The sequence below is a fragment of the Homo sapiens genome, chromosome 12 (assembly GCF_000001405.40).
Source record: "Homo sapiens chromosome 12, GRCh38.p14 Primary Assembly".
NCBI classification, from domain to species: domain Eukaryota; kingdom Metazoa; phylum Chordata; class Mammalia; order Primates; family Hominidae; genus Homo; species Homo sapiens.
This window is the reverse complement of record NC_000012.12, coordinates 43,486,824-43,500,105: the sequence shown is the minus strand read 5'-3', so window position 1 is coordinate 43,500,105 and position 13,282 is coordinate 43,486,824. Positions and strand designations below refer to the sequence as shown.

Sequence of the window (13,282 nt, the reverse complement as noted above, 5' to 3'; positions counted from 1 at the left end):
AGTGAGCCGCGATCATGCCACTGCACTCCAGTCTGGCCGACAGACTGAGACTCTCTCTCAAAAAAAAAAAAGCAATAAGGAAAGAAAGTTGGGTGGGAGAGATACTGAAGGAAAATACTAGATTTGATAGATTTTAAAACATGGTAAATGACAGATAACTATTGTCAGTGCTTTGGGCATACTGACTAGAAGGAATAAAGGAATAAACACAGGACCAATTTTGGAATAGTTTCATGCATTCTTGGTGACATCACCACCCTCAGAAAGGTTTTGTTATCTATATTTTACATAAAAATCAGTATTGGCCAGGCGCCATGGCTCACGCCTGTAATCCCAGCACTTTGGGAGGCCAAGGTGGGTGGATCATGAGGTCAAGAGATAGAGACCATCCTGGCCAACATGGTGAAACCCTGTCTCTACTGAAAACACAAAAATTAGCTGGGCATGGTGGCGTGTGCCTATAATCCCAGCTACTCGGGAGGCTGAGGCAGGAGAATTGCTTGAACCTGGGAATCAGAGGTTGCCACTGGGAATCTCGGTTCCCAGCCGAGATCGTGCCACTGCACTGCAGCCTGGTGACAGAGCAAGACTCCATCTAAAAAAAAAAAAAAAAAAAAAATCAGTATCATCACTGTTAGAAGATATTGTGACATACTTTGAGATAACTAAAGTTCTCCATGGAAGGTTTAAAGCCAGAGTTAATTGAAGGGAATGGAGACAGACCTTTTGACTTCATGGAAAGCAAATCTGCATCTGAGATTGCTTGAAACAACAGACCAATGCATGTGCTTATCATTTTCTGGATTTTTAGGCCTAGTAGAAAGAGAGCAGGTTTCTGTTGAAGACAGAATTTTTATAGACGCAGTCATCTGGTTTGTGTTAAGCTTTTGTTCTTAGGGAGATAGATGCAGCAAAGTTGAGGAAAAGGTGTGCATTCCAAATATAAGTGGGGTAGGAGGAAAAATTAAGGAGGGTAAGTCTCCCTTTTGAGATACTTTGAGTTTTTGTATATGCTTTCTTTCTTCCTAAGAAGCCCAATTTCAGATGACTTCTAAGCTACCTGGGTTTAGTGCTTTTCTTCTCTCTCACTGAAAGAATGTTCAAGTGAGGACATAGGAAAATTAGTAGACCCTATGGTTCTGTACATAAATTGTTGTTTTATTGGTTAAAAAACAGTGATCACAACTATATTTATGGTTGCAAAAATATTAAAGGTGAAAGGGAACTTAAGAGAAAGGGTGACAAACTCTCCCTGTTTTACCTGGAACTTGATCAGTTTTGGTATTGAGTCTCATGTCCTTGGAAACCCTTCAGTCCTGAGCAAACTGGGACTGTTGATCACACTGTGTAGCGATCAAATCCAGTCCAACTTGTTTTATTGTTACTTGTTAAGACCATTTCAAAAACCGCTTTAAAGGGGTAAGAGAAATGCTATTTGCACATAAGTGTCCACAGATATTTCTAGTTTAGGAAGGAGCTGTTCAGGTTTTGCATACTTTTTCCAGTTTTTAGAAGGCACTAACTGCATTTATTCAAACATACACATGGATTATTGGTGATATTCTGTCACGGTAATTTAGGAAAAGGTCAAGACAATGTGACATAGGCTTGGTATATGATAAAGACAAGTTCAAAGTGATGAAAAAATAATTTTTGTCTGTTGAGCTCCAAATATAAAGGGGGAAATAGGGGAATGCTTTCAGGATTGAGCAAATGGATTATATACACAACTTGGATTATCTATCCTTACTCATCCTGCACGAAGTAAACAATTGTGCTGTCTTCTTAAACTTTTTCTTTGCTTTCAACAATTTAACGAAATACCTGAGTGCAGTGATATTGAAATAAAGAATGTGACTTGATTCACTTTTTAGTTGCACTTAATGTTGTTAGAATAGGCTAGAGACCCTTCTTACTTAAAGGTTTCTGGAATTAACATTAAAATTAGTGGAGAAGAACACACTAATATATCTAGTGAAATAGTGTTTGTGTTAAATGAGCAGAGATACTCAGCTGTTATTCTAAAACCTTTATTCATAGGGAATTTGGGTGACAACACCAGGTTAAAATGGCATATATATATGCATTATTAAGCTACTAAAAATGTATGTAAACTAGAGCAGTTTTTTCTTCAGTATATTTATTTTGATACTCAATTTGTTATTTAATAGACCTTAAATATTTACTAAGTATTAAAGACTTCCACACTTCATTGTGTTTGTAAGGGTTTGACTCTATAATATTCATCCTGTTGCAGATTTAATAATGTAAGTTTAAGGAGCATCATGTAATCCTCAAGAATTAACCCTTTCATTAAATTATGGTTACTATTATTAGAGGCATATATCAACTAAAAACCCTCATTTGCATTACATTGATTTTATACCATTACTTTCAATCTTGTTAGTTGCTTTTACTGACGTTATTAGGATGGGGAAGATTTTTAACTATATTAAAATAAAAACTAATGATATGCTTTCATACTTCAGGTATAACCATTTATATTACTTTTCCCTTCAATTTAGTGCTCTGCATATTCTTAATTATTTGCACATATTCGCTTTGTATGTATGTAGAATTTCATCATTTTCAATTTAAAAATGAAAAGATCTTTCCAAAGAAGTAAAGAGTAATGATCTTTGTAAACAAAATTTGTTTGTCAAAATCAGTTTTTTATAGATGACTTTGTACTTCTTAATGAAGGTGGCCTATGAACATACCATATGTGAATGTTTGCTAAAGCTCTATCTAGAAATTATTTTCAAAATGGTTGGTAAGTTAATGGTGATAGCAATTTGTTTCATGCTTTGTATGAAGTATATTTTGCCTAGAATTTTCTTAAAGATTTCAACAATACAATTCATACCATTTCTTCTTCACCTTTCATTAAATATCCATGAAAGAATAATATTTACTATTTTATGAAACCTATAAACAAGTCAGAACTACTTAAGTGAAGGAAACTAACATTTAAGGAATGAAAGATTAAATACATTTTAAGTAGATCAATAAAAATTCGAATACATAGCACTCTAAAATGTAGTGATTAAGGTAATATATTGAAAATATTACAAGGCTTTTAGAATAGGATGATACGTTAGAAATCTGGTCTGGTGTTTCCTAAAGTGTAGTCTATGGAATGGAATATTAGTCCTATGATACGCTCCATGGTCGGGGGGCTAAGGACTACGGTCATATAGTTGCATGAAATGCTGTATATAATATCTCTGTCTCATAGATTTAATATGTGTATGTGTGTGTGTGTATGTGTGTTAGCCTATTCAAGATTCCATGAAGATATCTAATTATTTTAGCTCATTTCTCAAACTGTGGAATGATTTTGTTCTTTAAAACAAATGTCTTTCACAACTCTTCCCAACAGCACCTGGTTAATATTAATCCAATATGCAAGGACATTGTGACCCAAGGGTACCCAGTGCCTCAACATGGATATTAAAGACATTAAGACAAAAAAAATCAACTCATTTTCCAGGGTTGAACAACTAGCTTGTAGCTACTTGTTTAGAGCTGGAACTAAAGACCAGGTCTGCTGACTGCCTAGGGCTTCTCTGAGGCCACGGGCAAGTGACTATAACAGGACAATACCAGTGGCCGGGGGATGTGTTGCAGCAGGGTTTTGAAATGTCTTCAAATGTTTTGTACCAAGAACTAATTGGTTCAGAATGCTGAATAAAGATCAGATAAAGTAGTCAGTGCTCTAAAGCCAGACTGTACAGAATGAAAATTGGGTTCTGTTTGCTACCAGCTGCCTAACTTTCAGTGTCTTAGTTAACTTCTCTGTATCTTACTGTTCTTATCTGTAAAATGGACACTATAATAGTTCCTATCTCATAAGATTTGTTGTGATAATTAAATGAATTAATACATTTAAACTTGAACACATCTGGCACACAATAAACATTGAATAAATATTTTATGTATCATTTAATATTTACTCATTTATTATTTATAGCAAACGTAGTATCCTATCATCAAGGCAATCTAATTTGGGGTGGTAGTTTTAGGAAGGAGAGAAGTGCATTGTACATACTGCTTCAAAAATTCTCTGAGTACCAAATGGGCCTTGTGGCTATTCATTGCTTGAATCACAATTTAGCTTTATTGAATAGAGTTGTTCAATAACATCACCTTTAAACATCTAAATATAGTTAAAGGTATACGTATATCCTATATGAGCACTTAAATTATAAAGGTCAGTAAAACAATAAGAGATACAATTAGAAAAAATGAGCATGATGACATCCTTAATTATTTAATGAAATATACTATTTTAGTGTAAAAGCAAAATATCACTTTCTTTGGGGGAAGTAAAAATTATTTAAATCAAACCATCTGTTTTTGTATCTTTTACCCCCAGAGGACTGTGAGTTAAGGGCAGAGATTATGCCTTGTTTGGCTCTGTATATTTAGTAAGCAACACAGGGTTTGATGGGCAATAGATATTCAGTAAGTACTAAAAGAGATAATAAAGCAATCATGCTTTTGGATACTTTGCTTCCAATTTAGACATACTGTGATAATTAACTTGAAACACATGTACTAGAACTAGCATTATGTATATCTATATCTGTATTATGCCTTTTCTTCTGAAAAAGCTTTATAAGTAGCAATAAGAACAATAGCCACTGTGATTGATCCCTATGATCCTGGCTCTAATCTAAATACTATTTGCAGACCATCTCATTTAATCCTTATAGTAGCCTAGAAGTAGGTTTTATCAAATGGCTCTTAGAATTGGAACCTGTGTCTGTTTCCCTTAAATAACTATGTTTTATAGCCACTATCCACCTTGCATAACAATTGTTTGCATTATCTTTTCCTTAGTGTTACATTCAAGGATATTTTGCTGTAGTAATATATTTTAATTATACTATCAGAATATTGGGAATTTTTTTCCAAATTCTAGCTTGCAGATTTGTCACTTTTAAATAAAGGTGCAGCATCTGTTTCCTTCCGAAACTGGAAATATTTTTGTGATTATATATTTTATAGCTGATATTATAACATCCAGATTTTCATTCATAGTCAAAATACTTGGGACAATGGATATAGTAGTTAGCCATGTAGACACCTCATAGTGCATATGCTCTTTTTTCTGTGGACCACTGGATATGCATATTATTCTGAGACACAGAAGTCTTCACAGCTGTTTTTCATTTATAGGGGAAAAAGAGCTTTTATAAATACCTTTGAGGTTTGTCTTTTACCTTGTAATTTGACTTAGAAAAGCATCCACTTTTAAACTCACAGGATCAAAGTAACTCCAAAATCATAATTACAGGTGTGCTTTTTTTTTCTCCATGGTAGATGTATTTTAAAACATTGCCTGTAAAATGAATATATAAATTCAACTGTAAATTCACAGCTCCTATTTTAAAGTGAGAAATACTGCATTGCTAACAGACCTGCTTGAAATCACCAATCAGCTGACCATCCCAGTCTTAACTTACTGTCAACCCCACTGGGGCTACCTCCACTCTTGCCAAAACATGCTACCACCAGAGCCAAAGTCATCACTATAGGTACAGATGACAAACCTGTAAATATTTGAGGCTGCACAGCTATAACAGTAGTAAAGATGCTGGATTATGTATTTATGCTCATGCTGACCCTACAGTGTCAGCAGCTCTAAAGATGCTTTTGGCTCTAGTTCTGGTAGTAGTCCTTTTGGCACAAGAGACATTGGTAGCAGTCATGTTATATGTTGTGGTGAAGCAGCTTTGATAGAGTGAGGGCTCCGGTAGTGATACTTCTAACAAACTGTAAGCTTCATAAGGTCAGGGCCTTTGTCCTCTTATCTATATCTGCTTCTCTAGCCAACAAAGCAATGAGTAGATACTGAACATTTCTTTATTAAACAACTGAGGGAAGTAGCACACCCTGGAGCAATTGCTGCCTTGACTTAGGCAGTGGCCAACAAGAAGGTGATCTAGGGTTTAGAAGCAGATTTCATTGCACAGGTAGCCCAGATCCAGAGTGGGATATGCCTCTAATTAAGTACCAGGCAGAGGCATTGGCCATGGAAGACACCCCTACTGCAGTGGCAACCTCTATAATGGCTACAAGAAGAGAATATGAATTAGCGAATGGGATGGCACTTTGATCATGAATCATAAATGAGCCCATGCAGAGCCCATTCAGAGTGCCTAACATTCTCCAATCCTGGAAAATTGAGGACCAGGTTGTGACTCATGACCTCTTCTAGGGCTGTTTATATGATTCTAGATGGATCTGCCTCTATGGATTCTGGTGATGCTAAACTTTAAAAATAATAACCATATTTGGAGTTGGAAATATGCAACTGTGGCCGAAAGATTAGGTGAACTATCAGAAAAGAATAGGTAAAACTTACATATTTTTATGGAATATTGTAGTCATGTAAATTGTGGATTATGCCACAGAATGAAGTGAATTTCTTGCTGAATCATCCATAACAGCAGTTCCAAACTCTAACATGTGTTCAGATCACTTGACATCTTGTTAAAGTGCAGACTCTGAATCATTAATCCAGGGTGGGGCCTGAGATTCTGTGTTTCATATCAGCTCTAGGTTATGTGGATGCTGCTGATCCATGGATCAGTCTCAGTAGCAAGGTTTAAGATACTCAAATTTTGAGAATCTTTAAGATGCCTGAGTCTCAATCCTGCAGATTCTGATTTATTTGGTAAGGGATGTGGTCTGAACATGAGGATTTGTTAAAGCACTCTAAGAGATTCCAAGATTCCTACGTGCAGTGCAATTAGAGAATTGATACTCTGTGACTATTTCAACTTACTTTTGAGAAGAAATATTCATTTTAAACAACTAATCCTACATTTTTTTTACATGCAGGTTGCAACAATCTACAAAGATCCAAGTATTGGAAATTTGATACACATAGTAGTGGTAAAATTAGTTATGATTCACCGTGAGGAGGTAAGAAACAGGTCTAAAATTAGTAACCTTAGTTGTAGTAAGTTTTTAGTGACAATACGTAGAGATTATGGAACTCTTATTAGAAATGAGATATTTTTAAAATTTTAAAAGACTTGATTTGAGAAGGAATGAGATTACCCTTATTTGTTGTGATGGAAATAAAATAGAATGACAACAGTGTTTAACTGAGTAAAGGAAGTAACAAAAGTGAATAAACAATTCAAAAATAAAATATTGAAAACCTTAGTATTCATTTTTATAATCCTAATGTCAGAGGATTTAGAATATAGTCGTTTTTAAAAGTTTTTTTCCTAAATATTGGATGGTTGTATTAAGAAGATCTAATTAGATTCAGTTTTGATCATAATGTTTTAGATATTGCTAAAATACGTTATAGTTAATATATGAAGAAGAGATGCTGTCACTCCTTCATTCACCTGTGAGAATGCTATTTGATAAATTGTGCAGATGCTGATAAACTTGGAAGGAAAAGAGGACGTTAATATTTTGACATAGTATTGCATTGCTTATTTTGCATAGGAAGGACCAGTCATTAATTTTGATGGTGCTACCACATTAAAGAACTTTTGTTCATGGCAACAAACTCAGAATGACCTTGATGATGTTCACCCTTCCCACCATGACACTGCTGTTCTTATCACTAGGTATGATTATAGAAATAACCCTTCCCATACAATCCTTTACTCTTCCCTCCTGCATGACTGATACTTCTTCTTAATTCTTTTTTTTGTTTTGTTTTTGTTTTTCTTTTTCTTTTTCTTTTTTTTTTGAGACAGAGTCTCGCTCTGTCGCCCAGGGTGGAGTGCAGTGGCGCGATCTCGGCTCACTGCAAGCTCCGCCTCCTGGGTTCACGCCATTCTCCTGCCTCAGCCTCCCAAGTAGCTGGGACTACAGGCGCCCGCCACCACGCCCGGCTAATTTTTTGTATTTTTAGTAGAGACGGGGTTTCACCGTGTTAGCCAGGATGGTCTCGATCTCCTGACCTCGTGATCCACCCACCTCGGCCTCCCAAAGTGTTGGGATTACAGGCGTGAGCCACCGCGCCCGGCCACTTCTTCTTAATTCTTTGTTAATAATACACAGAAGTGTTCTATAAGAATTTGTATTACAAAAGAAACTATCGAATAAAAGCATTCTTCTATTCTTTCAAACCAGAATACTAGTTAGTTCTCTAGGAAATTAGCAATGTCAGGTTGCTGAGTAATGGTTTGATCTAAACAAGACAATTTCCTTACGATATTAGTGACAGAATGAGAGAATTAAGAAATTAACATAGTTATGGAACTGAGAGCAGGTTTTGTTCATTCCCTTCTTGGTATTTCAGTTGCTTGGAAAGAAGAGCAACTTTGTTCTTCTTTCGTTTGTCCACTTTTTGGACTCCCTTTCCTTTTAAAAATCTGTTTATCTGTTCCTCGTTTTGATGCTTAATGCCTGCCTTAATTACCAGGCTACCTTTGCTAGGGTTGTTCTCAAACCTACTTATTTATATGAAAAACAGCTTCTGCTGTTATAAAATTATTATTCATTTTACAAGCAATGCTATACATTGTTAATTTACACCTTTCTTTCAGCAACAGTGATACTACCAGAATATATAAATCCTAGGTTTGATATTTGGTTGACTAACCAAAGAAATCCTTTATTTAGGCATCAAACTCAAAAGAAATCTCAGCTTTCTAGAATCCTGAAATGAAAAACTTCAGCCAATGTAATATAGCTAACATGTAGTTCATGTACAATTATGTGTTGCTTAATGACGGGGACACATTCCAAGAAATGCATCATTAGGCGATTTAGTCTTTATGCAAACATAATAGAGTGTACTTATGCAAACCTGGATGGTGTAGTCTACTACACACCAAGGCAATATGGTATAGCCTACTGGCCCTAGGCTACAAACCTGTACAGTATGTTACTGTACTGAATGCTACAGACATTTGTAACACAATGGTAAACATTTGTGTATCTAAACCTATCTAAACATAGAAAAGGTGTAGTATAAATATGGTATTATAATCTTATAGGACCGATGTCATATATGCAGTCCATTGTTGACTGAAACATGTTATGCAGTGCATGACTGTACTTTAATCTCTTTTCAAAACTAAAGTAGAATTGATTTAATTTTATACATAGTATTATGTTATATATAGTCCATGGTTCTTCCTTGGATTGTAGTTAAAAGCCAAGCAGGAGAGATTGGAGATAGCAGATTAAATATGGGAGGAAGAAAGGGCTATGAGAAAGAGGTGATAAGAAAGGAGACACGAGAACTGTCAAATTGAATGGCCATGGACTAAGTAATGCAGAAGCAAAAAAAATTTATCAACTTCGTAACATCTGAGAACACCATTATTTTGCATGAGAGAATGATAACTGAAGCTGATGATGACATTGAATCATCATGAGGGTAAACTATATTACATATACTGTGTAAGTAAAAGCAGAGACATTTAAAATAGAAAGTTTTTCATTGAACTTGGTTAATGATTCAACTATTTACAACACTGATTTTATAGTACGTATTGCTTATTGATGTGGACAAATGGTGCATTACTCTAGGTTTAGACTTTTTGAGAGGTTAATGTGAACTAGATTTTAGAAGTTAGTTTGTGGTAGTAGTCATGTCATAGTTAAAGCTTCTTTATTTTTATTTTGGCTTGTTGCAAAAATATTTTCCAAAAATGCTTCAAAATAAATCTTTTATTTTAAGGGAAGACATTTGTTCATCTAAAGAGAAATGTAACATGTTAGGTAAGTTATTTTGTCAATTAAGTTTAGCTTATGTAATTGTTTATTGAATTATTTACAATAATGTTTAGGCTATTTTCCATTTATTTTACATTTTAGTAATTTTGATTAATTATCTTGATAAATTATTACACTTGTCACTTATTTCATTCTGCTGCTGTAAATTTTACAAAATGATAAGAACTAACATTTATTTGCAAATTACTCAATATCAAATGCTGTGCATGAGAAATAATACGTAATCACCTATATGCCAATTTAAAGGGAAATAATAAAATGAATAGCCATGAATTCACCATTAGATTTAGGTTAGAACTTTGCCACTACTATTGCTTGGTCTATGCTCAGTCATTTTCCATCACTCTACTTTTCCCCATGAGGTAGCCAATAGCATGAATTTTGTATTTACCAATTCCTTCTGTCTCTTGAAAAATAGTTTTATTACATATGTATGTTCCTAAACAAAAACTATTTGCTTTTATTACATATATATGTGTTCCTAAACAAAAATCACTTTTGCTTATTTTTGAATTCTGTAGTCAAAGTTCATGCATTTTCACTGTTATATATTTCATCTACAGTTTATATATCTATATCATATTAGTGTGTATTTGGGCTGATTCTACTTTTTTGTGTCATGAACTTCACTGGAAGAGCTAGGGTATATCCCTAGGATTAAGATGCCTGTGCCATTAAGTGAGCTAATATTCACATTTATAAGATATAACAAATTATTTTCTAAAGGGGTTATACCAATTTTTACATTTATCAATAAACATTCCTTTTGATTATATCTTTATAAATACTGGGTATCTTCAGATTTCTTTTTTTTAGTCTAAATGTAATATATTTTATTACCATTAGAATTTTCTTTTCACTGATTGCTAATGAATTCAAGCATCTTTTCATATATTTGTATTTCTTTTTCTGTAAGGAATGAAATCAATGAAAGAAACATTGCCCATATTTGTGGTGTGGTATTTGTTGCTTTCTTACTGCTTTTCAGGTATTCTTGATAACTTCCTGACACCAAATCCTTTGTGGTTTATACATATTACAAACATCTTTTAGCAGTTTGTTGGTTTGTTTTCATTCTTTTATGTGTGAAAATATAAAATGTAGCTGAATTTATAAACCTATTCTTTTAGAGTTAGCTTTTTTGTTTCTTCTTTAAGAAACCATTGTGTAACTCAAGGTCTAAACATATTATCCTGTTTTCTTGTAAATATTTTAAAATTTGTCCTTTAACATTTAAATCTCTAATCCATTGGGGTAATTTTTTTTGACATCATATTAGGTAGACATTTAGTTTTATTCCTTTAAAAAATTCAAATAAATATCCTTTATTAAAGAAAAAAAGGAATATTATTAAGCACCAAAACTGTAAGCTGTTACATTGCACGTACAATAACTGAAAGGTAATTGCAGTACTTGGTGTACTGGTACTTAACTCTGAAGTTATGTATAACAAATAGGAAACACAAAGCAACACAATATAGTAATTACAATGTAGAAAAGTTGCACTAAAGAGCCAAAGGCAACAGTCAAAACAATTATTGGAGATTTCATAGTATTGCTATAAATGTCTGTTTAGTTTTTTCTTTATACTTTTAATACATTAGAATGTTAAGTATATTTAAGTATTGTAAATTTGCAAGAGTAGGCACTTACAATACACTATGCACATTGTTTATTTAACGTAATGGTGCTAAAGCAATCCTTATAAGCCAAGCACAATGTGCTGCTGTTTTGCTTCTACCTTTATAATATTGTACAAAGCTAGTAAATGGTGAATGCCAATAAAATTTTCATTTACCCGGAAATGCTACAAAACATGTCAGTCTCCTTAGCTCGAATGGGTATTATTCATGCAAAATGATGTGTAGTTTTGAAGTTTTCATAAACTCATTATTTCACACTTGGCAAGACATGCGATACAGTGAGAAATTCAACAAGGCAGTGGAAATTCTATCAAAGAAGTTCGAAGTCACTGTGTGGGTTGCATCATCTACTCCCACAGATGAAGGGAAAATGCCACCTGTGATTATGGAGACTTCTTAAAACCAATATAATTAATATTTGGAAAAGCTGGAATAACTTGTCATACCCCTCGATGGTTAACCATATAACACATAAGTTTAAAAAAAGCCAAAAATTTTCCCTGTTAAACCTGAACTCTATAACCACATCCATACCTTTTGTTTTCATCTAAACATTACTTTTTAACATCTTTTCTTCCCTCGCTCAACTCCCCAAATTGAACCACTCTAAAAAATCAGTTGTACCTGATTTAAAAACAACAACACAAAAACAAAAAAACTCTTCTTCTAACCCTCAAAATAAACAACTGCTTTGAAGTTCACTGTGAAATTACATTCATAATCCTTTTTTATTTGAATAATCAATTCCCCAAACTATACATTGAATAATTCCTCTCTTTTTCTTAGAATCTGAAATGTCATATATAAAATTTCGGTATGCACTTGAGTCTGCAACATCATGCCACCATTTTATGGGACCATATTTGCTATTTATCCATGCATCAGTTCCATAATATTTTCATTTTTATAGTTCTATAATAAATATTAATCAGTGGGGTATATACCACCAGCTTCTTTTCTTCAAGAATATTTTGGCTATTTTTGGACTTTTGTTCATCTGTGGAAGTTTTAGAATCAGCATGTCAAGTTCTCAAAACATTTATCTGTCTGTTTAGGTAAGACTTTTAAAATGTCATTCAATAATAAATTATTTTCTTTCAATGTGTCATGTACAACTGTTGCTAGACTTTAATTTTTTAATTTATTAATTTTTTTATTTCAATAGTTTCATGGATACAAGTGGTTTTTGGTTACATGGATTAATTATATAGTGGTGAAGTCTTAAGATTTTCGTGCACCCATCACTTGAGTAGTGTACATTGTACCTAATAGGTAGTTTTTCACTCCTCACCCCCCTCCCACCCTCCCACTCTTCCCTCTTCCGAGCTTCCAGTGTCCATTGTGCCACTCTGTATGCCTTTGCATACCCATAGCTTAGTTTTCACTTATAAGTGAGAACATGCAGTATTTGGTTTTTGATTCTTGAGTAACTTCACTTAGAGTAATGCCTCCAGTTCCATCCAAATTGCTACAAAGGACATTATTTCATTGTTTTTGTGTGTGTGTCTGAGTAGTAATCCATGGTGTATACATACCACATTTTCTTTGCCCACTCATCAGTTGATGGATAGTTAGGTATTTTTGCAGTTGTGAATTGTGCTGAGATAGCATATGTGTGCAGGTGTCTTTTTGATATAGTGACTTCTGTTCCTTTGGGTAAATACCCAGTAGTGGGATTACTGGATCAAATGGTAGATCTATTTTTAGTTCTTTGAGAAATCTTCATACTATTTTCCACAGAGGTTATACTAACTTACATTGTTATCAGCAGTGTACTTGCATTTCTTTTTTACCACATCTATGCCAATATCTGTTGTTGTTTGACTTTATAATAATGGCCTTTCTGGTTGTGGTAAGATGGTATCTCATTGTAGTTTTAATTTGCATTTTCCTGATGATTAGTAATGATGAGC

General features: G+C 33.9%; 1 protein-coding gene across 2 annotated transcripts in view; it reads left to right on the top strand.

The window, feature by feature from the left end:
• Positions 1-13,282, top strand: part of ADAMTS20 (ADAM metallopeptidase with thrombospondin type 1 motif 20) — a 199,441-nt gene that overhangs the window by 52,098 nt on the left and 134,061 nt on the right. For both annotated transcript variants that reach the window (XM_011538754.3, NM_025003.5), the window contains exons 5-7: positions 6,853-6,936; positions 7,477-7,601; positions 9,671-9,711. In XM_011538754.3, coding sequence (XP_011537056.1) covers positions 6,853-6,936; positions 7,477-7,601; positions 9,671-9,711 — 250 coding nt within the window. The remainder of the gene's footprint in view (positions 1-6,852; positions 6,937-7,476; positions 7,602-9,670; positions 9,712-13,282) is intronic.